At 34.8% G+C, this 27,135-nt stretch overlaps 1 protein-coding gene across 6 annotated transcripts in view; it reads right to left on the bottom strand.

The window, feature by feature from the left end:
* Nucleotides 1–27,135, bottom strand: part of UBE2E3 (ubiquitin conjugating enzyme E2 E3) — an 83,066-nt gene that overhangs the window by 20,403 nt on the left and 35,528 nt on the right. The window lies entirely within an intron of this gene.

Here is a 27,135-nt window from a genome sequence, read left to right as displayed (position 1 = left end):
CTTGCTCACCAGACATCCTGAAAGTTCTTCTGAACAATCTTTCTTGTAACAATAAAAGAGGAAGCAGTAAACTGTATTGAAAAGGCTTGGAAATCACACAAGATCTAAAAATCTGGTTGCATTTACCAGATGTGTGACGTTGTGCAAATTACTCAATTTTTCTCCATCTGTATGTGATGGCACCTGCCTTTGGGGTTATAGTGAAGCTGACAGCTCCTACTATTATGTAATTTTCTTTATCACTACTTCCAACCCAGATACTTAGCACATTTGGCCTGGGACTCAATTATGGATGTTCAGAATTGAAAGGTCTTTAGATATCATTTAGTATGGGTCCCTAGTCTTACAAATGAGGAAACTGAGGTCAGGTGCTTGCTCAAGGCTCCAGAGCTAATACGTGGCAGAACCTGAATTCTAACCTGTTCCATGACTTCCAGTTTGGCACTCTTTCACCAGCATCCTTAGAAAACTTCTCAGGACTTTGCTCATGCCATTTCTTCCTACCTCCCTGATGACTACTGCCTCTTTCAATATTCTTTATCTGAATTCAATTAATAAATAGAAGGACTTCCCTAATTCCAAAAGGGACTTCTCCCTCTTTTTGAACTCTAGTACAGATTGCTGTTTGGCTTTTTGATTAGGTCACACTGATGGGGGGCTAACCAGAAGAGCACAGCCACTTAAAGTCAGAAAACTTTAAACATGTAAACAGCCTCTGAAGGCACAGAATATTAACTGATGCTTCACAATACCCTTGAATTAACAAGGAAAGACTGAGCAATGCTCAGCACATATTCTCTGATTCCTAAGACAAGGCAAACATTAATTTTCAAACATCTGGAAAGCTTAGAATGACTGATGGGGATAGGGTAGACTTAAGAGATGTGACAATTAAATGCAATGTGATATCCTGAAACAAAAAGGACATTAGTGGAAAAACTGGTATAAAGCCAGGAGTTTAGTTAATATTAAGTTACCAATATTAATTTCTTAGTTTTGACAAATGCAGAAGGCTCCACAATTATATCCTCATTTACACTTGCTTTCCAGTCTAAATTAGGGTAGGTATATCACAATAATGTTTATAGTCAACAGTACTAAGGTCTGCTGAGATGACTCTCCACACTTTGTGATGGCAAGGATGAGGTGTTTTGACTCACACTCCACTGCTCTTCCAGACCACGCTGCCTCCTGACAGTGGTTTGGTTGTCATTCAATTCACCTAGTGAAAGCACTGGCCAAAAATATAATTCTTATTTGAAAAGAGCTTACCACAGTTTTTGTGAGCAGTGTGCAACATCACACCTGTAATCAATCCCAGCACTCTGGGAGGCTGAGGCAGGCGGATCATAAGGTCAGGAGTTCGAGACCAGCCTGGCCAACATGGTGAAACCCTGTCTCCACTAAAAATACAAAAATTAGCCTGGCATGGTGGTGCGTGCTGTAATCCCAGCTACTGGGGAGGCTGAGGCAGGAGAATTGCTTGGACCTGGGAGGCAGAGGTTGCAGTGAGCCGGTTGTGCCACTACAATCTAGCCTGGGCGACGGAGAGAGACTCCATCTCAAAAAAAAAAATTCCTTATGTTGCACACTGCTCACAGAAAACCCTGACATCCATTTTAACAATTAAAATAGATCTATACTGACATCTATATAAAAAGTAGTATGTTCTAAGCTTCTATTACTGTTCAATGCCCCTATGAGGAGAGGTAAAGGGCTTTGGTTCAAGCGCTATTTGACACTCTATATGAAGAAAAAAAAAATCTATCTTTTTTTTTTTTTTTTTTTGAGACGGAGTCTTGCTCTGTCGTTAGTGGCATGATCTCGGCTCACTGCAGCCTCTGCCTCCCGGGTTCAAGCAATTCTCCTGCCTCAGCCACCCAAGTAGCTGGGACTACAGGCACGTGCTGCCACACCCGTCTAATTTTTTTATTTTTGGTAGAGACTGGGTTTCATCATGCTGGCCAGGATGGTTTTGATCTCCTGACCTCGTGATTCGCCCGCCTGGGTCTCCCAAAGTGCTGGGATTACAGGCGTCAGCCACTGCACTCGGCCCTGAAGCATTTCTTTGGAGAAAAGGAAATGTGCTGAAGCATCAGAAGGAACCTCTAAGAGTCTACTTATGAAAATTCAAGTCTTCTGCTTTTCTAAGGTAAAAAAATAGCTCATTTACTGCACAGTCTAACTCTCTGGATCTAACAATATGACAGCAAGGAGAATGATTTTATAAAAATTCCAGAAACTGTTAAATGACATTTTAAACTATGATTATTTTGAATACCATAGCTACTAAAAAGTGATTTCCTTTGTCATCAGACTAAACTGTTTTTCCAGTATTTTTTACCTATGATCCATCTGAAACCTCTAGTGATTACCCACCTTCATCCTATAATTTGTAGTATACCTTATACTAAATAGAAATTACATTTCATTCTAACATTAAATGTTTAGATGTTATAGTTCTTTTATATATCTCAAAGCAGCCAGTATAATGCTTTCCACATAAGAGTTGCTCAATAAATGCTTCTTGAATAAATGTCAACCATGAAAAAATGCACTGTGGCAAAAAATTGATTCTTTATAAAAAAATTTTCCTATCCACTAATATTTATTTTATGTACATCATAAGCCAGGCACTGTAGTAGGGATAAAAGAAATAAATGACATCTAATTGAATTTATTGTTATGAAAAGGCTAAATGCAATACAGTGTAACATGTGCAGAACTAGAGACAGGTCAATGTCCCGTGGAAGGACGAAGAAGGATGTATCAAAATTGCTTAACTGGGTATATCAGAAAGCTCTATGAATATATGACTATAACGCAATCTTCCATTTATCCACTAAGAAGAACGCAAACATATTTTCCTCCCCAATTTAAGTATATAAATTTTTAGGAATGTCAAGGAAACAGTCAAATGGCCACTTAAAATAATTATTAGCTACAGATATTAAAAATCACCCCATGTGGTAAATTATAAATACAGTCAGCCCTCTGTACCCATGGGTTCTACATACACAGATTCAACCAACCACAAACAGAAAATATGCAGAAAAAAACTAATAAGAAATCACACAAATAAAAAGCCAATACAGTTTAACAACTATTATTTATATTGTATTTGGTATTATAAGTAATCAAAGTATACCAGAAGATATACATAGGTTATATGCAAATAGTATGCCATTTTATATAAGGAACTTGAGTATTTTGAGAATTTTGGTATCTGTGGAAGTCCCAGAACCAATCCCCCAAGGATACCACGGGATGACATTTTACGAAAATTTTATTTAACTCCTAGACATCAGTGTCTTTGTCATTATAAAATTATTGAGATGAATTTTTCGACTTTGCAAGTGACACTATTAGAAATTTTATCATAGCCAAAATTAGCATTTGTACACTTGTTTTTTTGTAGAGATGGGAGTCTCGCCATGTTGCTCAGGATGGTCTCAAACTCCTGAGTTCAAGCAATCTGCCCACCTCGAAATCCCAAAGTGCTGGGATTACAGGCGTGAGCCACCACACCAGTCCCTGTACACTCTTAAGACAATGTTTTTACATTCGACCACAGGCATTCTAGTTATAAGTCGCCCTCCCAGCCGCTCCAGGAGCCAGAATGCTCGTCTGCACCCACTTTTTGAACTAAAAGTATATTCATTACATTTTCAATGTAGCCATTTATTGTATTTTTCAAATGTTTTTAATCAGCTTTGAAGTATAAATTTATTTATAAAATTTATTCACCATTTTGAAATAAACACTGCTAAGTTTTGACAAATGTATAGTCCTGTAACATCACTACAACCATGATATAGAGCATATCCACCACCCCAAAAATGTTTCCTCGTTCCACTGCAATGACCCTATTTCCAAAAAAAAAAAAAAAAAAAAAAAAAGGTCACATTCTGAGGTACTGGAGGTTAGGACTTAAACATACCATTTTGGAGGATGTAATTTAACCAGTAACACTGAGTCACATGGTAGTAAGTGTATGTTTATAGTAAGAAACCCCAAAACTGTTATCCCAAGTGGCCATACCATTTTGCCTTCTCAATGGTAATGTATGAGAGTTTCAACGGCTACACATCCTTCCTCATCCTGTTTTTTTATAATTATTTTAACCATTCTAGTCAGTATGTAGTTGTATTTCATCGTGGTTTTAATTTGCATTTTTCTAACGACTAATGATGTGTAAGCACCACTGTTATTCATACAGCTTCATCAGTAACATCTCTATTCAAATCTTTTGTCCATTTTAAATTGGTTTGTCTATTAAGATATAAGACTTGTATGTTAAGACTTGCATGTTCTGGATACAAGTCTTTTATCAGACAGAGGTTTTCAAATTATTTTCTCCCTTTCTGTGATTTGCCTTTTCATCTTCTCAACAGTGTCTTTTACTTTAAGTTCCACCTGCCAATTATTTTATTTCTTGCTTTTGTCCTAAGAGATTTTTACTTAATCCAAGGGCATAAAATTTTGCTCTTACATTATATTCTAGAAGTTATAGCTTTAGCTCCTACATTTAGGTCAATGACCCATTTTGAATTAATTTTTGTATGGTCATGTGTCACTTAATGTTTAACAACAAGAATATGACCTCAGAAATGTGTCATTCGGGGATTTTGTCATTTTTCAAACATCATAGCGTATTTACACAAAGCTAGATGGTACAGCCTACTACACACTTAGGTTATATGGTATAGCCTATTGCTCCCAGGCTACAAACTCACACAGTATGTTATTATATAGAATACTGTAGGCAACTGTAAAACAATGTGATTTGTGTATCTAAACACACAGGAAAGGTACAGTAAAAATGATATAAAAGATAAAAAGTGGTACACTTGTATTGGGCACTTACCACAATGGAGCTTTCAGGACTGGAAGTTGGTCTGGGTGAGTCAGGGGTGAGTAGTGAAGGCGTAGGATGTATCTGTGCACTACTGCAGGCTTTATAAACACTTAGGCTATACTAAATTTATACAAAAATACTTTTCTTCCACAATAATAAATTAACTTTAGCTTACTATAACTTTTATTTTGTGCTTAGAGACAAGATCTGACTTTGTCACTCAGACCAGAGTGCAGTGGTATGATCATAGTTCACTGCAATCTTGAACTCCTGGGCTCAAGTGGTCCTCCCACCTCAGCCTCCCAAGCACCTGGGACTACAGGCATATGCCACCATGCCCGCTAATTTTTAAATTTTTTGTAGAGATGGTGTCTTGCTATATTGCCCAGGCTGGCCTCAAACTTCTGGCCTCAAATAATCCTCCCCCCTTAACCTCCTAAAAGTGCTGGCATTACAGGTGTGAGCCTGGCTGTAACTTTTTTACTATGTCAACTTAAAATTTTTTTTTAACTTTCTGATTCTTCTGTAGTAACACTGAGCTTAAAACACAAACACAGTGTATAGCTGTACAAAAATATTTTCCTTTGTATTTGTCTATAAGCTTTTTTATTTTTAAAAGTTATTTTATTTAATTTTTTAAACTTTTTTTGTAAAAACTAAGACACAAACATACACATTAGCCTAGGCTCACACAGGCTCAGGAGCATATATATCACTACTGTCTTCCACCGCCACATCCTGTTCCACTGTAGGGTCCTCATGAGCAATAACATACACATAGAGCTGTCATCTCCTATAACAATGCCTTCTCCTGCAATACCTCCTGAAAGAACTGCCTGAGGCTGTTTTAGAGTTAACTTTAAAAAAATAAGGAGTACACTCTAAAATAACAATAAAAAGTACAGTAAATACATAAACCAGGAACACAGTTGTTTATTATCAAGTATGTACTACATATAATTATATTTGCTGGCAGCACAAGTTTGTTTCCACCAGCATCACCACAAACATGTGAGTAATGCACTGTCTGACGATGCTACGATGACTACAACCTCAATTAGGTGACAGGAATTTTTCAGCTCTATCATAATCTTCTGGAACCACCATTATATATGAGGACTGTTGTTCATCAAAATGTCATTATACAATGCATAACTATGGATGATGTGAGGTCACAATCAAGGTTCAATACAGTAAGTCTTCGCTTAATGTTGTGGATAGGTTCTTGGAAACTGCAACTTTATGTGAAATGACATATACTGAAACCAATTTAACCACAGGCTAATTGACATAAACAAGATTTAAGTTCCTATGTCATATTTCTGGTCACAACATCACCAAAATTTACTAAATAAAGACCAAAATATTTCTAATATCAAGCATTGAAATAAATGTGAGCTATACATACAGTTAAGAAAAGTTAATAAAAAACAAGTTAGAGTATTGTTTACCCACTTATTCCAGTTCAGGGTAGAGGGTGGCTGAAGAGTTCCAGCAGCCCAGGGCACAGGGTGTGAACCATCCCTGGACAGGATGCTCCTGCATCACTGGGCACACTTTCACATAACCCCCACACCCCCTCACTCACTCAGGTGGGGACAATTTAGGCACACCAATTCACTTAACATGCACATCTCTGAAATTTAGGAGGGAACCAGAATACACGGAGAAAGCCCACACAGACACGGGAGAAGATGCAAACTCCACACAATGGCCCCTGCCAGGAATCAGGTTTTTTCCTCATGAACGTTGTAAGTACAATACAATGTTGAATGAACCATTATTCAAGGACCTGCTGTATTTTGTGTATAGATACTCAGTTATTCTAACACTTTATGTCGAAATCCTTTCCCTACTGAATTACCTTGGCATTTCTGCTGAAAATCAACTGACCATTTATGTGTGGATCTACTTCTGGGCTCCTTATTCTGTTTCACTGATCTATATGCCCAACCCATGCCAATACCACACTATTTTGATTACTCTATGTTTACCTAGTACGTCAGAATCAAGTAGTATGAGTCCTCCAACTTCGTTCTTTCTTTGCAAAAATTAGAATGTACAAGATGTTGCCTGTTGCCTGCTGTGAGCCAAGTCCTTCATTCTGTCCATTTCAATAAGGAATTTGGTATTTCAAACATACCACTCAAGAAATCAGGATTGACTTTACTGTTTGAAGAATGCACTGTACTGACATCACTTACCACATTGGAGGCTTACTTTATACCTATAGAGTTCAACACCAAACAAAATAAATCTTAAATTCTGAGACAGCTGGCCATTAAATTATGAGTAAAATTCATCATCAGCTTATATTACCTATTATGTGACCTTCCTCTGTTCCTGTGGTAAAAACCCTTGGGAACAATCAAGTACAACTATATATCAGGGGTGTCCACACTAAAAAAAGAATTGTCTTGGGTCACATATAAAATACACTAACATTAATGACACCCGATGAGCTTAAAAAAAATTGCAAAAAAAATCTAATAATGTTTCAAGGAAGTTTTCGAATTTGTGTTGGGCTAGAAAAACGTCCTGGGACGCATGTGACCCACGGGTCATGGGTTGAACAAGCTTGCTATGTATCATTACTAATATATTACTAATGAGCTTAGCATTGCATGCTTTTTACATGTTTATTAAAGTATACATATATAATATTACTAAGAGTAATATATAATACATCTACTGAAAGTAATATATATCACTAGTAAGAGTAGTTATTACTATTTAAAAAGTAATTCATATTTTTTATAAATACATTTTAAAATAAAGAACATGGTAACATTTCCATGACAATGACAAAAGCTGTGTTTAAGTTCAAAAAGAAAAATCAGCAGCTGACAGTACTACTGCAACCCTTGAAAGAATAGTTCAGAAAAAGGAATATACATTTATAGCCTTACATCATGCAAATCATAGTATAATAGGTGTAGGTTTTACTTTGTAGGTTTCACTTTTTACAATTCAAAAGGTTATCCCTTATATAGAATGCATATAAATATTAAAACAAAACAGTTATTTTGCTGTAATGTACATTAATTTTAAAATATGAATACTAACCATAAAGCACCTAAGTGATCCGAATAGTTTACAAATGACTTGTATATTTATTATGTAGCTTTTCCAAGGCGGATTTTGCCATTTATCTAAATAGAATCACCTAAAATATTAGTTGTCTTTCCCCTTTCTCTAATAGTTCCTAAATTAAAAGTATCAAACTAATCTTCCCTAATGTTAGTATTTCATATTCTTCAAATATGTTAACTTTTTAAATTCTTCAAATTTTTCAAATTCTAATTTTTTTCTATTACTCAAATCATTTCACCTGTTGAAAGCCACATTTGTTCATGGAAACTTGTTCTTTAGAAACCTGAATATAAATAGAAATGAAATAAAATTCAAGGTTCACACTAAACTTTAAGCTGGACATAAAATGGTATTCTGACATGCTAGTTCCAGGAAATTTCTTTTTAATTTTTTTTATTATACTTTAAGTTCTAGGGTACATGTGCACAACGTGCAGGTTCGTTACATATGTATACATGTGCCATGTTGGTGTGCTGCACCCATTAACTTGTCATTTACATTAGGTGTATCTCCTAATGCTATCTCTCCCCGCTCCCCCCACCCCACGGTAGGTCCCGGTGTGTGATGTTCCCCTTCCTGTGTCCAAGTGTTCTCATTGTTCAATTCCCACCTATGAGTGAGAACCTGTGGTGTTTGGTTTTCTGTTCTTGCAACAGTTTGCTGAGAATGATGGTTTCCAGCTTCATCCATGTCCCTACAAAGGACATGAACTCATCCTTTCTTATGGCTGCACAGTATTCCATGGTGTATATGTGCCACATTTTCTTAATCCAGTCTATCATTGATGGACATTTGGGTTGGTTCCAAGTCTTTGCTACTGTGAATACTGCCACAATAAACATACATGTGTATGTGTCTTTATAGCAGCATGATTTATAATCCTTTGGGTATATACCCAGTAATGGGATTGGTGGGTCAAATGGTATTTCTAGTTCAAGATCCTTGAGAAATTGCCACACTGTCTTCCACAATGGTTGAACTAGTTTACAGTCCCACCAACAGTGTAAAAGTGTTCCTATTTCTCCACGTCCTCTCCAGCACCTGTTGTTTCCTGACTTTTTAATGATTGCCATTCTAACTGGTGTGAGATGGTATCTCATTGTGGTTTTGATTTGCATTTCTCTGATGGCCAGTGATGATGAGCATTTTTTCATGTGTCTTTTGGCTGCATAAATGTCTTCTTTTGAGAAGTGTCTGTTCATATCCTTCGCCCACTTGTTGATGGGGTTGTTTTTTTCTTCTAAATTTGTTTGAGTTCTTTGTAGATTCTGGGTATTAGCCCTTTGTCAGATGGGTAGCTTGCAAAAATTTTCTCCCATTCTGTAGGTTGCCTGTTCACTCTGATGGTAGTTTCTTTTGCTGTGCAGAAGCTCTTTAGTTTAATGAGATCCCATTTGTCTATTTTGGCTTTTGTTGCCATTGCTTTTGGTGTTTTAGACATGAAGTCTTTGCCCATGCCTATGTCCTAAATGGTATTGCCTAGGTTTTCTTCTAGGGTTTTTATGGTTTTAGGTCTAATATTTAAGTCTTTAATCCATCTTGAATTAATTTTTGTATAAGGTGTAAGGAAGGGATCCAGTTTCAGCTTTCTACATATGGCTAGCCACTTTTCCCAGCACCATTTATTAAATAGGAAATCCTTTCCCCATTTCTTGTTTTTGTCAGGTTTGTCAAAGATCAGATAGTTGTAGATGTGTGGTATTATTTCTGAAGGCTCTGTTCTGTTCCATTGGTCTATATCTCCGTTTTGGTACCAGTACCCTGCTGTTTTGGTTACTGTAGCCTTGTAGTATAGTTTGAAGTCAGGTAGCGTGATGCCTCCAGCTTTGCTCTTTTGGCTTAGGATTGTCTTGGCAATGCGGGCTCTTTTTTGGTGCCATATGAACTTTAAAGTAGTTGTTTCCAATTCTGTGAAGAAAGTCGTTGGTACCTTGATGGGGATGGCATTGAATCTATAAATTACCTTGGGCAGTATGGCCGTTTTTACAATATTGATTCTTCCTATCCATGAGCATGGAATGTTCTTCCATTTGTTTGTGTCCTCTTTTATTTCGTTGAGCAGTGGTTTGTAGTTCTCCTTGAAGAGGTCCTTCATATCCCTTGTAAGTTGGATTCCTAGGTATTTTATTCTCTTTGAAGCAATTGTGAATGGGAGTTCACTCATGATTTGGCTCTGCGTCTGTTATTGGTGTTTAAGAATGCTTGTGATTTTTGCACATTGATTTTGTATCCTGAGACTTTGCTGAAGTTGCTTATCAGCTTAAGGAGATTTTGGGCTGAGACAGTGTTTGATAATCCTAAATTAAAGCGCTTGCCCAAAAATTGCAGTGGTTCTGAATCAGTTGGGAATAAGGAGGCATATTTAATAATTACATTTTTGCAACTTTGTTTTCTTTGCATGTCCAAATTACAGTGTTTCAAAGAGATGGTAAATTTTTCTTAGAAGAAAATAAATATCAAGTTAAAAAATCTGGAGTTAAGAATAAAGAATAAGAATAAAGAAATGGGTCAAATGAGACACTGACAAATGAGAAAGTCCTAAGATATAAAGATATTGAAAAATACTAAATGACTCAAATGTTTCTTTGAAACTTCATTATCTTATCCACGCTATCTACTACAGAGGTTCGTTAAATAGGGGCCATTTGAATAAGTTAGTCAAATGACTTTTTTGTAACCCATGTATATAAAAGGATAATATATATTTTTTATCAGATAGCAGAAGCTGGCTCTCCAGAGGAAAAAAATATTACCGATTAAAAATTAATGTTGGATACACGTTATTTTATGCAATTGCTACCAGGTGAGTAAGACCATATTCTATTTTACTTTTCCTTTGAAATAATGATGTTCGCTTTAGCCTTCATAACACACTACTTCAACAAAAAAAGTTAATTTTGCCCTCTAAACCCAAGAAAAGCTAGGCATAAAATTTGTTCAAAGGGAGACTAGCAACTTTTGCTTCTTCAGGGAATGAAAACCTCAGCAAAGTGATTATCCACAGTTTTTGGTTTCTAGATTTTCCTAATGGAGCACCTCCCTGAAGCTGGTTTTCCATTGCAGAATACTCTTAGATTGTAAGAACAGGCTACATGGCATTTCCAAAATGGCATTTGTGAGCCGGACAAACTTTTGAGTTAAACAGAAGCAACTGGCATTTTAAAAGTCACTAGTCTGGAAACATTTAATCAGGAAAGGAGCTGATTAAAATTAAACTGTTTCACAATCATTGTCTTATACTAGAATGAGTTAAGATTATTAACTTACGACTTCTTTTTAAGTAAGCACAGTAAAGTTTCAGAACCACTAAGGATACAGAAATAGTGTATAGCCTCCAAAAATGGGTGTAAAGAAGGAATGGAATTATGAGCAAAACAAAACAAAACACCAAAACTAATAAGCAAACAGTCCTCAATCAATCAAAAAGGCAAGGCAAGGAGGAGGGGCGCAGAAAGAGAAAAACAGAAAGTAGTCGTTAAGTAAATGGTAGTAACAAACCCCTATCATAATGAATACAAACAAACCAAACTCTTAAAAGACTGTCAGACTAAATAAATAAAAACACACAGAGTAATGTGGTACTTTAAAATGACAAAAAAACAAAAACGGTAAAAATATATGCTACTGAAACATTGTAAGCTTGCTCTACATAATAAAATAGCCTCAAGGTATAGTAATACAGCAAAGATTATACAGCAATATATAAATAAAAAGTAATACAGCAAACACATTTCTACGTATCTTGTTTTTGACAACCAGAGGGAAAAAATGAAGATACAGAATATCTGAACCACATAATAAATGAACATGATTTAATGAAAACATAGCAAACCCTATATGTAACAATCAGAGAAGAGATATTTTTCTCAAGCACACTGGACATATGTATAAAATCTAACAATACATTAGGTCCAAAAGCAATTTTTAACAAATTTTTTAAAAAAATAGTATGAGAGGCCACAAAAATCAGTACTTAGAGGTAAATGTACAGCTTTAATGTTTGTATTACAGAAGAAAAGCTAAAAATTAAGAACCCAATCTAAAAAATTACAAAAAGAACAGCAAAATTAGCTCAAGTAAATAGAAAAGGTAACAAACGTAATAGTATAAACTAGTGAAACACAACACAAACACAAAATAGTGTCAATAAAAACTAAAATTTTTTTTAAATTTTTGGGTCAAGACTAATAAAACATAGAAACCTTGTGACAAGACAGAGAGAAGACAGAAATAACAGACATGAAAAAAATAAATGCTCTAATTCCTAGAAAAATTCAACCTACTAAAAAGAACAGACTAAGTGAATACTGGTTATACAATATAGAGATGGGACTTGTAGTTAATTTCCACCTTTTCCCCACCTTATCCCAAATACAAAACCACCAGGTCCACATAGTTTTACAGGAGACTTCTATCAAATTTCAAGTGAGATCATTCCACTCTTAAAACGCTTCTGAGAATCAAAAATAAAAAATAAAAAAATAATTTTTTTTCTCTGAGGCCAGTATTAAAAACAGGCTAATTAGGTGTAAGAAAAAAAGAAGCCAATCTCAAATCATGAACACACATGTAAGACTCTTAGTAACAAATCATATCCAAGACTGTTCATATTGAAAAAAGATAATATATATTGCCAAATTGGAAATGCAAAGTTAGTCTGACATTAGAAAAATATACACATTCTGAGATGAGATCGTGCCACTGCACTCCAGCCTGGGCGACAGAGCAAGACTCCGTCTCAAAAAATAAATAAATAAATAAATACAAAAGAAAAATATACATATTCAATTTATCATATTAATAGATTAAAGCAAAACCATATGATTATTACTTTAGTAGATAAAGTATTCATTAAAATTTAATGCCCAATGAAGAGTTTACATAAGGCCACCACCACCACCACCAAAGACAACCAAAATACTTTCATGGAAAAATAGAGGAGCCAGGTGTGGTGGCTCACACCTGTAATCGCAGCACTTTGGGAGGCCGAAGCAGGTGGATCATGAGGTCAAGGAATCAAGAAAATCCTGGCCAACATGATGAAACCTGGTCTCTACTAAAAATACAAAAATTAGCCAGGCATGGTGGCGGGCGCCTGTAGTCCCAGCTCGGGAGGCTGAGGAAGGGGAATCACTTGAACCCTGGAGGCAGAGGTTGCAATGAGCCGAGACTGCACCACTGCACCCCCACCTGGCGACAGAGAGAGACTCCGTCTCAAAAAAAAAAAAAAAAGGGACCGAATTAATTGATAAAGAATACCTTTTCAAACACCCACGCCAAACATCAATATTAAAGATGACAAGTTTATACCGCTCCATTTAAAACATGGAACAAGAAAAGAAGCTCAATTATGACTTGGTTGTCCTAGACAGTAAAGTAAGAAACAGAACTTAAAAAAAAAAAAAAAAAAAAGATTGTCTACAGATAAAAATCAAAGAATGTAATGTATAAGCAAATTATTAGAATTAAAAAGAACATTTATACAAGGTTGCTAGATAAAAAACAAGTTTTTAGATAAAACTTACAAAAGCATCAAAAATATTAAACTCCTAGAAATAAATTTAGCAAAAGATGTACAATACTTGAATACAGAAAATTACAAAGCAAAATCAGAATTAAAGAAATCCTAAATAAATGAGGGTGATACAGTATGTTTATGAAAAAGAAAATTCAACATTTTTAAGAATTCTACTTCTAATTTCTCAAATTCAATAAAATTCTAATTAAAACCACAAGAATACTTTTCCAAGGAATTTGATAAGCTGATTCTCATTTTATATGAATGCGTCAGGCAGCTCCTAATGAAAATACAGATACTTGTCCTACTAGATATCAAGACTCATTAGAATTATAGTAATTAAAACTATATCATGTACTATTTGTGCAGAGATAGACAACTTGATGAATAGAATGGAAGAGCCCAACACAGAACTAGGCAAAAAAAGAATCATGAAATGACAGATGGCACTCTAGCCACTGGACTATTCAATAAAGTTACTAAAACAAATAGTTATCCATATGGAGAAAAATGAAATTGGACTACTACCTTACCCTTTTCAAAGAATCAATTCCAAATAAATTTGGAACACTAAGGGCAAGCCTTTGAAAAAAAAATAAAGATATCCTCGAGACCTTGGGACAGAAAGTAATTTCTTAACCATGACACAAAAAGTGCTAATCATATAAGAGACTGATAAATTTAACTACCATTTAAATTCAGTTCTTTTCACTAATATACCATAAAAGAACCAAGTCATTAACAGAGAGAAGATTTTTGCAACATATATGTACAAAAGGCATCTGTATCCACAATACATAAGAACCCCTAATAAAACAAAATTGGGGGCAGGGGGACAAATAACAAAAAAAAGGCATTTCACAGAAATGAGAATGGAAGATAAACATAAAAAAATTGTTCAACCTCATTATTAGGAAATGCAAATTAAAACCATGATGAAATACTATTTTTATACCCATAGATTAGGAAAAATCAAGAAGTCTGAAGATTGTCAGAGTTGATAAACCTGCAGCGCAAAGAGAACTATTGCACTTTGCTGGTGGAAATGTGTATCAGTGTATCACCAATTTGGCATTATCTTGCATGGTTGAATATGCACGTTCTCTGTGAGACTCACCTATTCCACTCTTAGATATACAATGAAAGAATTTACTCACATATTACTAGAACACATGTTCAGTAATCTTCACAGTACGATTGTTCATAGTGACAAAAAACAAAATAAACATGGAACACCCAATATACCCTACTACAATGAATACAAGTATATCCACGTAATAAAATCGTATACAGCATGAAATTTAACTATAGCTACATGCCAAGACTCAAATAAATCTTAAAACAAGATTTAAGAGAAAAAAGTATAATTACATTATAATAATTACATTAATAGGTAATTACATTATGTAATGTATAGTGCTCAAAATTAAACAATATATGCCGTTTAGTAATACATTCAGAAACCATTATTTTTATAAGAAGTAAGGAAATGAATGAAAACATCTTAGAATAATGATCACATCTGGGTGAAGGGAAATAGAGTGACTGAATAGGGACAGACAACATATAGAGATTCAATGATACCATCTAGTTTTTAAGCTGGGTGAGAAATCATCAGTATTGTGTTACTGTTATGCTTCAAAAAATGTTACATGTATTCTTTTCTATGCATTATGCAGTACATGATTGATGATAAGGGTATACTTACATAGTAAAAGAATTTACTTTTTTCTGTACAATCAAATGACTAGGAAAGTAGAGTTATGGCAATGTTAAGAGTGACAGCAAAGAAAGCTTAGCTGAACTATATTCAGTTTCAATACTTGATTTTAAAAACGACACTAGGAGAGAATTTGGGCTTTTCTGTTACTCTCAAAGATATTTAAAAGACACAACATGCTGCAGCACTCTTGCTTCTCACAATTACATACTGTTTTATTAAGGACCTTCAAATTTAAAAAAAGCACACAAAATTTCTAATCTCCATAATGCTTGAAAGACAAATTTAAAACTACCCATAAATAAATACTTATATTTTTAAGTTAAATCTCAAGAATTAGATAACTTTACATCTAAGAATTCCTGGGATCTTTTTATTTAATGGGTCAAATAGTTCCTATTTCAAATTTATTTAGCATTTTTAATTATGATTAACTATGTCTCTCATTTAAAACAAGAGGTTTGGATGACCATGATATATGATGCAGCTACCAAGTCTCTTATACAGAAAAGCAAAAAGCAGGATATTGTAACTATAACACTTTCCCACACTTGTTGAGGTCCATCTTTTAGTCAAAGATTTAACTTATGCACAAATGCACAAACATAAATATACATACATATATACGTTACAAATCCGAAATTCACATAAGTCATAAAATAGAGACCTTTTATTTAAATGGCTGTAGACCACATTTTAACACAGGTACAGACAATCTAAGAAACTAAGTTTTTAATAAAGATTATTAAGAACATTCCTAGTAGTAGGATAAGTTAGAATAAAGTTAAGATACTCTGCGCAATTCTCTGCACAAATTTTTTTACTAATAATTACCTTCATGAAGAGATATTTCTAGCTGATTAGTAAAATCTACATAAAAAATTATAAATGCAAATTGCCTGAATAACTGGTTATCAATCATATATTTATAATAACCACAGAAATTACACAAAATATTATATGATCAATAATCAAAGTTGGACCTGAATATCAATCATTAACTGTTTACTGATGATATCTGTTCAATAGATCTAATATTGCCATTAGCATGTGTAAATTAAGTATAAGTATAACCATATTGACTGACACAAAAGTTGTATTTAGGCAGTCCAGTCGAGGTAATGAAATCTACCTGAAGTAATGGCGGAACAAATCTCATACACGAAAGGGCCGGAGTCAAATATTTAAATTAATGGCATTAGTGAAACTTTAACTAATCTCCAGATAATCCCCATTATATACAGCTTTCACCCCTCTCTCACTTTCTGTTTCCTCAGCCTTTGGAAAGCATGTATCAAGGATTTAAAAAAAAAAAAAAATAGTTGAAAGATCTAAGAACTAGCTGACAGAAAATACAATACACAGAGGTGTCTCTGCTCTACCTTCAGACAAACAAGATAGAGAAACCAGCAGGAATCAAAATGGTCTATGAGAGACTGCAGTTATTTGTTAAGGGAATGGAAATGAAAGAGTTACCTAGGGTTTATTCATTATCTTCTGAAATTGAAAAAAAAAATCAGATTACAAAAAAATGCCATGACAATCTACAGAATATGTAATCTATATTTGCTATACTAAACAACTGGTTTTTCTGTTTCTATGAGAATATCTAAAGTATTAGCTTCAATCATTATTTTCAAAATTTAACTTAATCCTCCAAAGGGTTTCAGTGTGTTTTTTCATCTTTTCCTGCTGTTTAAAACTATTTAAGTATTCATTATCCCAACAGATTTGATTCTACGCAAAAGCCTCCCCAAATCTACTGTCATTGTATTAACTGCTCTGTTGACCCTGCAAATGAGATCAAATTGCTTCTTGGTATTACTCAACATTTAACGTATGTTTTGAATGACGTTAAAATATTTTTACAGTTTTTAGACAAAATGTGATTACACGTTTATGTGCAAATTTCCATAAATCCATTGCCTGCTCTTTAGAAAATTTGTTTCCATATAAAGTAGAGCTATCTTAGAGAGTTTTAAAAACAAAAAAGAAAGGGCTCTACATTGACATTAGAATTGTTCTTATAGAAGACTTGGTATGAAACTCAGATTTTTCTTTTTTCTCTTTGAAGACTAACAAATTGTCACTGAAATGATTCTTCACTGCTAATATATGTAGATGTGACTGTAGAAGATTATTAATAGCCAATGATATGATTCAAATACAAAATTAATAATGGCCCTATATTTCCCTCATTTCTGAGACAAGTCCAGTAACACAGGACGATGGTCATTTAAATGTAGAAAAAAAATTAATATGTGGTATTTTACAACTATTAACAACTTAGACAAGTCTTCTAAAAGAATACCCTTAAATGCCATATATCCCAAATATACCTGTATACACAATAAAGAGGAAAAGGAAGTATCAAAGTTCTCTTACCTAACAAAGCTAAATGTATTTTAACATAAACTGTCAGGGAAAAAATAGATAATATCTTCAATGACAAAATCAATGTTATGACACTGTGAAAATTACATTTATTTGCATAGTGGTAATAAAAATAAAAGCATTTCTAGAAAGCAAGACACTCCATTGTCTTAAATGTTAAGAGCAAGGTTTCTGTGGTCTATTTAAGAGAGTAGGCTAGTGGATATGATTAGGAATTCAAGTATAATTGTGCAAAGTAGTCTGGTTTCTGGACAAATGCCAAGACCCACTCTAATCCTAAACAGTACTTCAAACCACTCGTGCCCCTATAAATTATTTGGTATTTTTTACTTCTTGAGAATACTTCCAACTTTCGTCCCAGAACGTATCTCCATGTGGCTAACTAAAGCCACATGAAAGGCTTATAGTGAATTCTAAAAACCTTTATTAACAACTTTTTAAATTGTCTGTCCTGTCAAAACAGATCATAAAAGTTCCTTTGCAACTGTTCTACTTTTATTAATAGAGCTGATGTGAAGCAGTATAGTAATACATGGGAAATTCTACCTTTGAAATTGCTACATTTGAATTACTACAGTTCAAGCAATATTACCTAAGTTAAAAAAAAATCCTTATTTCATTTCTGTGATGCTGGAGATCACATATTTGGTTTTTAGTGTGTAGTTTTTCATTTATAAAATAGTTACATCAATACCTTTATAAAAATAGATTACTCAAGGATAGAATCTAGATGATGAGCATATAAGTAGTCACTAAAATTTTCAGCTTTATTGTATGTTTACACATTTTCATAATAAAATGTTAAGAGAAAAATAGATTACTGTAACAGATTCATATCTACATAGCACATCACCATTACATCTTAATAATCACATATATTAAAAGTCAAGTTTGAAAATAAATTTAGAAAACATTCAGAATCTAATTTATAGCTCTGTTACAATTTTAATTTATTGCAGCGCTACCTAATCTGCTTATTGCTTGTTTACTCCATGATGACTGGAACTCAGTTTCCAAAATACTTGACTGAATTTTCCTTCCTTTTTGAAAATGTTTCTGGATTTTGTTTTTGTACAAGGTGAGTGGATAATAGGATGGTAGAATCGTAGGATGAAGTCTTACTTTTTCGTAATCTGGTTTTAACATTAATTCATAGCTCACTTTAAGTTTTACTCTCACATAAAGTGTCAATCATTTTCTGAGAAGAGTCAGTCAAGAGGCTCATCTTGGAAGAAGACAAATGAAGATATTAATGAACTTTCTAAAAAATCCTTTGGGGACTCAATGCTGAAGTCTTCATATGAACTTTTGGCTCACTCATAGTGAAGGACTGAACATACATGTTTACCTGACCTACAACGACAGTATCAATAGGAGAAAAATGACTAACCATATTAGTAACAAACATGAGTACTGGGAGAGGTTACAAATGCAAAAGAAATATAAAACACAGGTATTCCCATTGCTTTATCACTTGTGACAGTAAGGAGTAGGGAGAAATAAAGAGTCTACTTAAATTAAGGATAATAATAATAGTAGTAATGATTATAGCTAACATTTATCTAGCACGAACTTACGTGGAGGGCACCAGTTTATGAACTTTCCATGTATCAATTCATTTAATTCTCACACCAAAATTATCAGGTAGATATTTTATCATCGTCATTTAAAAATTAACACACAAAGAATTTAAGTAATGAACCTAAAGCCACACATCTGGTAAGTGATGGTACCAAGATAGAGTCCATGCTCTCAACCCCTTTGCTATATTGGATGCCCCCAATTTTTATGCCCAGAAATCCTTCGAGGTTGTCAGAGTAGAGTTACTTAAAGAGCATGGCTACTGTTCTATCAGGCGGCTGTGTTAAAGAAAGTAAGGGATGCCTCACACTGGCCGAATTCCTCTGTCTTCTTGTGCCACAAAGCAATTCATGATTCCTTTAAGTAGCAAACTCCTTATTATCAAATGAAAGGTGAAAGCATTAATTTTAAGTATTTGTAACAAATATCATTGATAATGGAGTTTTTGTGGCAATATACATTGTTTGAGAAATCAGAAGACAAAAGTAGAGGATGTTCTATTTACTATGAAAGATTAAGAAATTCAAGATAAAAGTAACTAAATCAAATTTTAACAACTAAAATACTAACTTAATCCAAATCATTTTCTCACTATTCAGCATACAGTCAATTCTCATTATTTGGGGATTTTGTGTCTGTGAATTCACCTACTCCTAAAAATATAAAGATGGTTCCTGATGTTTCTACTTAATGATTTTCAGATGTTAGGATGGGTTTATTGGGGCGCGGCCCCACTGTAAGTCAAGGAACTCCTCACAACTTACTCATGTCGGGGTTATGGTTTCTACTGAATGCATGTGATTTCTACTAAATGTATATTGCTTTCTCACCATCGTAAAAAACATTAAGTGGAACCACTGTTGGTCGGGGACTATCTGGTTTATTACCAGCATTAACTGTATTTTTGACTTCCAGTAGTGCTTATCAGGACATAGCCCCATTGTAAGTTGAAGGACATCTGGTATTTGTAAGCCAAAAATCAATACTAGGGGCTTTTGCAGTCATTTACAGACAATGCGCAGAGTGGAGAAAAATTTGAGTCCCAGCTGAGGTTGAACAAGGCAGCACTCTGTCTTCTGTTTCAGCTCTCTTTCTGTAAACCTGTGGGGTTTTTTTTTTGTTTTTTGTTTTTTTTTGCAGCCTACTTAGTACCATGCTTTTTGCATTTTTGTGCTTTTTGTTAGTAATTTCATTGTTTGAAATGGTCCCCAACATAATGCTAAAGTGCTATCTAGTGTTTCTAAGTGCAAGAAGGCTGTGACATGCTTTACTGATAAAATACATGTTTAGATGAGCTTCCTTCAGGCATGGTTATAGTGCTGTTGGCCACGAGTTAAATGTTAATGAATCAACAATATACACTGAGAAGATGTTTTTCAACAGAAACATAAAATGGTTATGTATTAATTTACATAATTAACTAGAAGATCAAAAAAAGATAATCTTTTATTTCCCCTAGGAGTAATGGTTCAGTATTCGCTAATTCGGTGTTTGACAACTTTATGGAACATAACACCACCGAGAATAATGAAAATCAACTGTGTTTATTTTTCTAAATGTTTGATAAATCTTCCTGAAATAGAGCTAGCAATAATACTAATCTTATTTTCAAGAGTCTAACCAAAAAGGTTACATTTCCTATAAAATAACTATTAACATTCATAAAAAAATGGCAGTCTGACTCCTAAACTTATAGTATGTTTGCCATAACAATATTAATCATAGGACATCAAAGTTTAATGTTCCATTTACTTTCCAATATTACTGTTAATGCTATCTTATTACATCTGTACTGCATTTTACAATTTCCAAAATGTTAACGTACATTATTATTTTACCTTCACAAAAGTTTTAAGGCAGAGCAGTTTTTACCCTTAACAGTAAAAAAGTGACCAAAAGGGAAAAATTGGTGGTTTCACATAGAAGGAAGACTAAGGTCAAGGATTCTGGGCACTTTTACTCTAAACTTTTAGATGCATTTAAAAATCACTTAAGAAAGCAAAACCCAGAAGTATTTTCCAACCTACTTATAATCCTTGAAAAAGATAAAATAAAAACAAATAGAAAGCTAGTCTGCAAAAGTATTAAGAAATCCACTGGTCAAAAACTGCTAAATTACTTTATATGGTTCCATGACCACAGACATTAATAGATATAGTATATTTAAAAGAAAAGTTGGGAAGGAAGGAAAGAAGGAAGGAAGGAAGGAAGGAAGGAAGGAAGGAAAAAAGGGAGGGAGAGAGGGAGGAAGGAAGGAAGGGAGGGAGGAAGGAAGGGAGGGAGGGAGGAAGGAAGGAAGGAAGGGAGTATATTTAAAAGAAAAGTTGTAAAGAAAGAATAAAAGAAAGAAGGAAAGGAAAGGAAAGGAAGAGAGAGAGAGAAAGAAAGAGAAAAAGAAAGAGAGAGGGAGGGAGGGAGAAAGGAAGGAAGGGAGGAAGGGAGGGAGGGAGGGGAAAAGAAAAGAGAAAAGAGGAAAAAAAGAAAAGAAAACAAAAAAAAAAGAAGAGAAAAGAAGAAACACTGTAATGGTGAGGTTATCTGGATAATCAATTTTTAACACTCGGATAAAGACAGAAAAATGTAACTTAAATGAATATATGACTTCACAAGGGAAAACAATACTCCATTAGGATTAATATCTTATTTGTCAGCAAAAACATCACAATCCTGACTAATCTCATGTTTCGTAGTCGCAACTACATTACTATATGTGAAAGCCCACGAAGACTGGTATATTGCTGTAGCTATTATCCTATTTCTGTAAACCACCTTTCCCTGAAATAATTACTACTTTTCACATATAGTAGGGTAAGAAATGATTGACAAAGTATGTAATAACCCTTTCATCAGTTTCAAATGCATACACAAATATTGAAACATGTCCAACTAAAATATTACAAAACAGGAAGGATAAAAATTCCCCTTTCCTATCCTCTACCATTCCCTAACTCTAAAAACTTAATATAAAACTTAATCCATCCAGTCACCTACAACCATATCACTAGATTTACCCATGTCAGGGAAATCCAGATATAATGAGGTGAATTTCAAGTTGTCTATTTTTTATGACTACCTTACTTTTTTCCTTATGCATTACATATGAAACCCACTTTAACCATTTACCTTTTTTCCCTTAGCTCTATATGAAGACTAGTTTAGGCATTCCCTCTGAATCCACACTATGGCTTTTATTTGAACTTAGACACAAGAAACAAAGAAGTATTTGATAAGATTTGCTCAGCAGATGGAAAAGTCGTAGTGGTATTATTGAAATGACTATGAATTAAAAACAAAGGAAATAATTCTAGTTTTATTACATTATTATTAAGGATCAAAATCTTTTAATCAACTGTGACAGCTTGAATTGTAGGCCCCTAAAAGATAATGTTGAAGTTCTAACCCCCAGTATCTCAAAATGTGAGCATATTTGGAAACAGAGTCACTGCAGATGTAATTAGTGAAGATGAGGTTATACCAGAGTATGGTGGCCCTTAATCTTTATGGGTTATGTCCTTACAAGAAGAGAAGAGAGACAGAGATACTCAGGAAGAAGGCAGCCATGTGACAATGGAGGTAGAGTGACGTCAAAAACACAAGCTAATAGAGGCAAGGAAGGATGCTCCCCCTACAGATTTCAGAGGGAGCACGGCCCTGTCCACATCTTATACTGGAGAACTAGCCTCTAGATTTGTGAGACAATAAATTTATGTTCAAAGTCACCCAATTTGTGGTACTTGGTTATGGCAGCCCCAGGAAACTAATACATCAACCTTCCCACAAAAACAGATAAGAAATACAGTAGTCAAACTCAGAGATGCAAAGAGTAGAACACTAGTTGTCAGGGGTTGACGTATGGGGAAATGGGGAGATATTGGTCAAAAGGTACACAATTCTAGCTATGCAAGATGAACAAGTTCTGGAGATCTAATGTACAGCAACGTGTCTACAGTTAACAATATTGTATCATACACTTGATATTTGCTGAGAAAGTAGATCTTAAATGTTCTCACCACAAAAAAAAGAAAAAAATTAAAAGAAAATGGTAAGTATGTAAGGTGAAGGCTACGTTAACTAGCTTATGGTGATTATTTCACAATATACATGTATCAAAATATACATACCAAAATATCAAGCTGTATACCTTAACTATACATATTTAAATTTGTCAATTATCTCAATAAAGCTCATATTTTTATGTTTAAAAAAACTAATAGTAAGTAGACTTTTTAAAAAAATCACTGGTACATTGTGTTCCCCAATGAAAATAATTTTTGAGATAATTACAAATGAAGCTCCCATCTCCTGAGTTTTCTAGTTTCTATTATTCCTTCAAAATGCAAAACCAAAATAAAATATATGCTGTGGTTTCCAAAGTAACAAGATGAAACAACCGCCAAGTTAAAAATGACACTGAACACTGAATTTTGAAAGTTTAAAAGTTTATATTACAGGTAGAAAAAAGATTAATGCAAGGTTAATATGCTTCTGAGTGACATTTATGGGCAGCACATTTTGAGCACCGGCTGAACATGTTCCAATGATTTAGCGTCTATCAACTAAGAATTTCAGGGACCCGTATTCTCATAAATTTTAGAGCTAGGCCGGGTGCGGCGGTTCACACCTGTAATCCCAGCATTTTGGGAGGCCAAGGCAGGTGGATCCCTTGAGGTCAGGAATTCGAGACCAGCCTGACCAACACGAAACCCTGTCTCCACTAAAAATGCAAAATCAGCCAGGTGTGGTGGCACATGCCTGTAGTCCCAGCTACTTGGAAGACTGAGGCACGAGAATCGCTTGAACCTGGGAGGCAGAGGTTGCAGTGAGCAGAGATCACACCACTGCCCTCCAGCCTGGGCGACAAGAGCAAAACTCCATCTCAAAAAAAAAATTTAGAGCTAGAAAGGAACTTAAGAGTTGTAGTATTTCCAACTTCCTTACTTTACAATGAAAAATCTGAGAGCATGGAACCTAGATCTATCCTGACATCCAACTCAGGTAATTGTTTATGAGGAAAATAACACTCCCCTATATAAAAGGCATGAGCTTTTCTAGACCCTCCAGACACAGAAGAAAATAATTATACATATTTATTATTATACTATGGTCATTTGTTAAGATGTTACCAACTGTATGAAATCAAAGATGAAGAGTCCTGGAGGACTGGGAAAGTGTGAGGAAGAAACCCTAACTCCTTCAATTAAAATGACTTCCTTCAAGCTCTTCAGAATCAGCTCACTAATGGAAAAAAAAAAAAAAAAAACACAGAAATTGAAACAAAATGCAGGGAGATCAGCAAATAAAAAGGGCACAGTTTTACTACTATACTCCCCTGAGTCCTCGGGCACAAAAGCTCATCAAGAATAGATTAACTGCACTGAAAGGTAGATAGGTATCTGCACCCAGATAAACTGTACAATCCTAGGCCAAATATATATGTATACACAGATAAAAATATTATCTTCCTAGGTCAAATATATATATATATATACACACACACAGAGATAAAAATATTAAACACATGTGTAAACACAGGTGCTTATATGTGTGGATATGTATTTATGTATACAGGTACATCACCAGAATGCATTCCTCCAAGGTGGACAGAATCTCTAAACATAATTAGTGTTCTTTATATTTTATTGGCATAAATTGCTACTAGAGTATAACTGTTTTTATTATACATTCAAGAACATTCATTTTAGAAGACAGCCAGCAGTACCAAGAAGAGTAAAGAAAATGAAAGTCCCACAGGCATAAGTGAAGCCAAAGCACAATCACTGTAGCAGCCCCATAATGTAGAGCTAGGTTAAAAATACAACGAAAACAAAATTAGGGTGGTCTTCTAGGTAGAAAGAGAAAGCAGAAAGTAAAGGCACTGTGAAAAGAAATACAGAAAAAAGAGAGTCACGCTCAGAAGACTGAGCTGGAAGATGATGGCTGACATGAAGCTGGGATTCCTCTAACCAAAAAATCCTGTAGCAACAGGGCCCTCGTCAATCACTCCCTTTAAAAAAGCATCTTAAACCCCCTATCCTGTAGTTAGCAGATACCCGTTTTAGTTCGGAGCTGAAAGACAAGGTAAGTCCAAAGCATACTAGATCTAACTATTACTTAAACAAATTAGGAAACAAACAAAGAAAAACAAAAAAACCTTTTATGCTGTTGTTAAATAAGCAACATATGACACTTCCGTATTAAAAAAAAAAATGGATCAAGGAAGAGTCCAGAGTAGGAAGGCATAGATGAATCCAGTCTAGAAAAAGCTACATTTCCCAAAAGGATGGTATGCATATTACCGCATTTCCATGAGGTGACTTTAGACAATACACATACACGCTGTCTTCCCTTGGAGAAAACTGCTCAGAATTGTCACATTCGTAGTCCAGTTTCAGAAGAAAAAGTGTTGGCTTAATCCAGGAGGGATCATGCTTGGTTTCCACCCCCCTCATGCCCCTAACTCAAAAATTACCATCCCAACCTCAGACGCAACCATCCCTAAGGCTTCATTTCTGAGCCCCCTTTACTGGTTCTGCTCTAAACTCGTCCCACTGGCCCCTCCTGGACCTCAGCCTTTACCTGCACACATCTATTTCCAGGAGTCTTGACCACTGTATCCCACTTTAATGTAAACTTCCAGCCCCTGTGATTCTTCCATACTCCCGATCCCTATGTCCTTCCTTCAGGCTTTAACCTTCTCCCCACTCTCAGGGAATGTTCTATCAGTCTCAGGCCCTTCTATAACACAGGTTGCATTCCTGGCCCAATTCTGTCTCCACCTCCAGTTTTCTCTTTTAAATCAAATCCAGCTGCTCCTCACTCTCCCTACTCTGTCTGTGATATAAAGTTCTCAATCAGATGGGATCAAATTGCCAGTTTCAAGCACAATTCTTAGAACAGTTATGGCATTTCCAGGCTCTGGCTTCTAACTTAAAGAGGTTCCCTCTCTCTGGGCCCTTGGTCCTTCCTATCTTTCATATATATCCACCCCACTGCCCATGAGGGGAGAAAGAGTTCCTTATCTTTTCAGACTTTCATACCAATTTTTTGTTAAGTTTTGTTCTTATTTATCAAGCAGTTTCCTTCTGAAATATATTTAAGTAAAATATATGAATACACATTTAAAGAAAAATTTCTAGTAAATCATAATAGTCGTGAGACTGATAGGGCGACAGTTGTTAAAGCTGTACAAAACTAAGGTTTGGGAAACACTAATGCTTTGCAAAAAGAATCAGTTTGGGGGTCAACAGACTTGAGCTGGGATTCTACCTCCATTACTTATAAGCCAGGTAATTGTCAAGTTATCTAGGCTAAACTGTAAAATGAGTCTGACATAAGCAGCCTCATAGGGTGTTACATATTAAATAAGAAATATTAAGAAAATGATACGACCTGCCACATAGTTGGTGACAATAAATTTGAGTTTTTTTATAGCTCTGACTCCAACCCTGTCATTTTTATTGATAAAGACAAAAAGGTATTAGCCAAGCATGGTGGCTCATGCCTGTAATCCTAGCACTTTGGGAGGCCAAGGAAGCAGGATCGCTTGAACCCAGGAGATCAAGACCAGCCTGGACTACACAGTGAGATCCTGTCTGTACTAAAAAATTTAAAAAAAAAAATTTAAACCCCAAAAAGGTATAAAGAAGGTAAAGGTTAGTGTCTTGCCCAGGCTCACAAAGTGAAATCAGTGGCAGATTCAGGGTTAAAATTCAGTTATTTGAAACCGGGCCCACTACATTGTTCACTAGTATTTATTTCAAGGTCTGCCATATGAATGCCAGAAGTAGCATGTGGTTATTTTATCTTTCTAAAATTTCCTATAACTTTATAAAGCTAGTTGAATTGAACAAATTTTAATCTTCATGGCTAATTACTCTGGACTCATTCTCATTGCTCTAACATGCTCCATGGTACTATATAACAGAAACAACATTTGCTGGTGAGAAGAGTACCCAGTTTCTAGTTTGGGCA

This window comes from Homo sapiens, chromosome 2 (assembly GCF_000001405.40).
Source record: "Homo sapiens chromosome 2, GRCh38.p14 Primary Assembly".
NCBI classification, from domain to species: Eukaryota; Metazoa; Chordata; class Mammalia; order Primates; family Hominidae; genus Homo; species Homo sapiens.
This window is presented reverse-complemented; position numbering and strand designations above follow the sequence as displayed.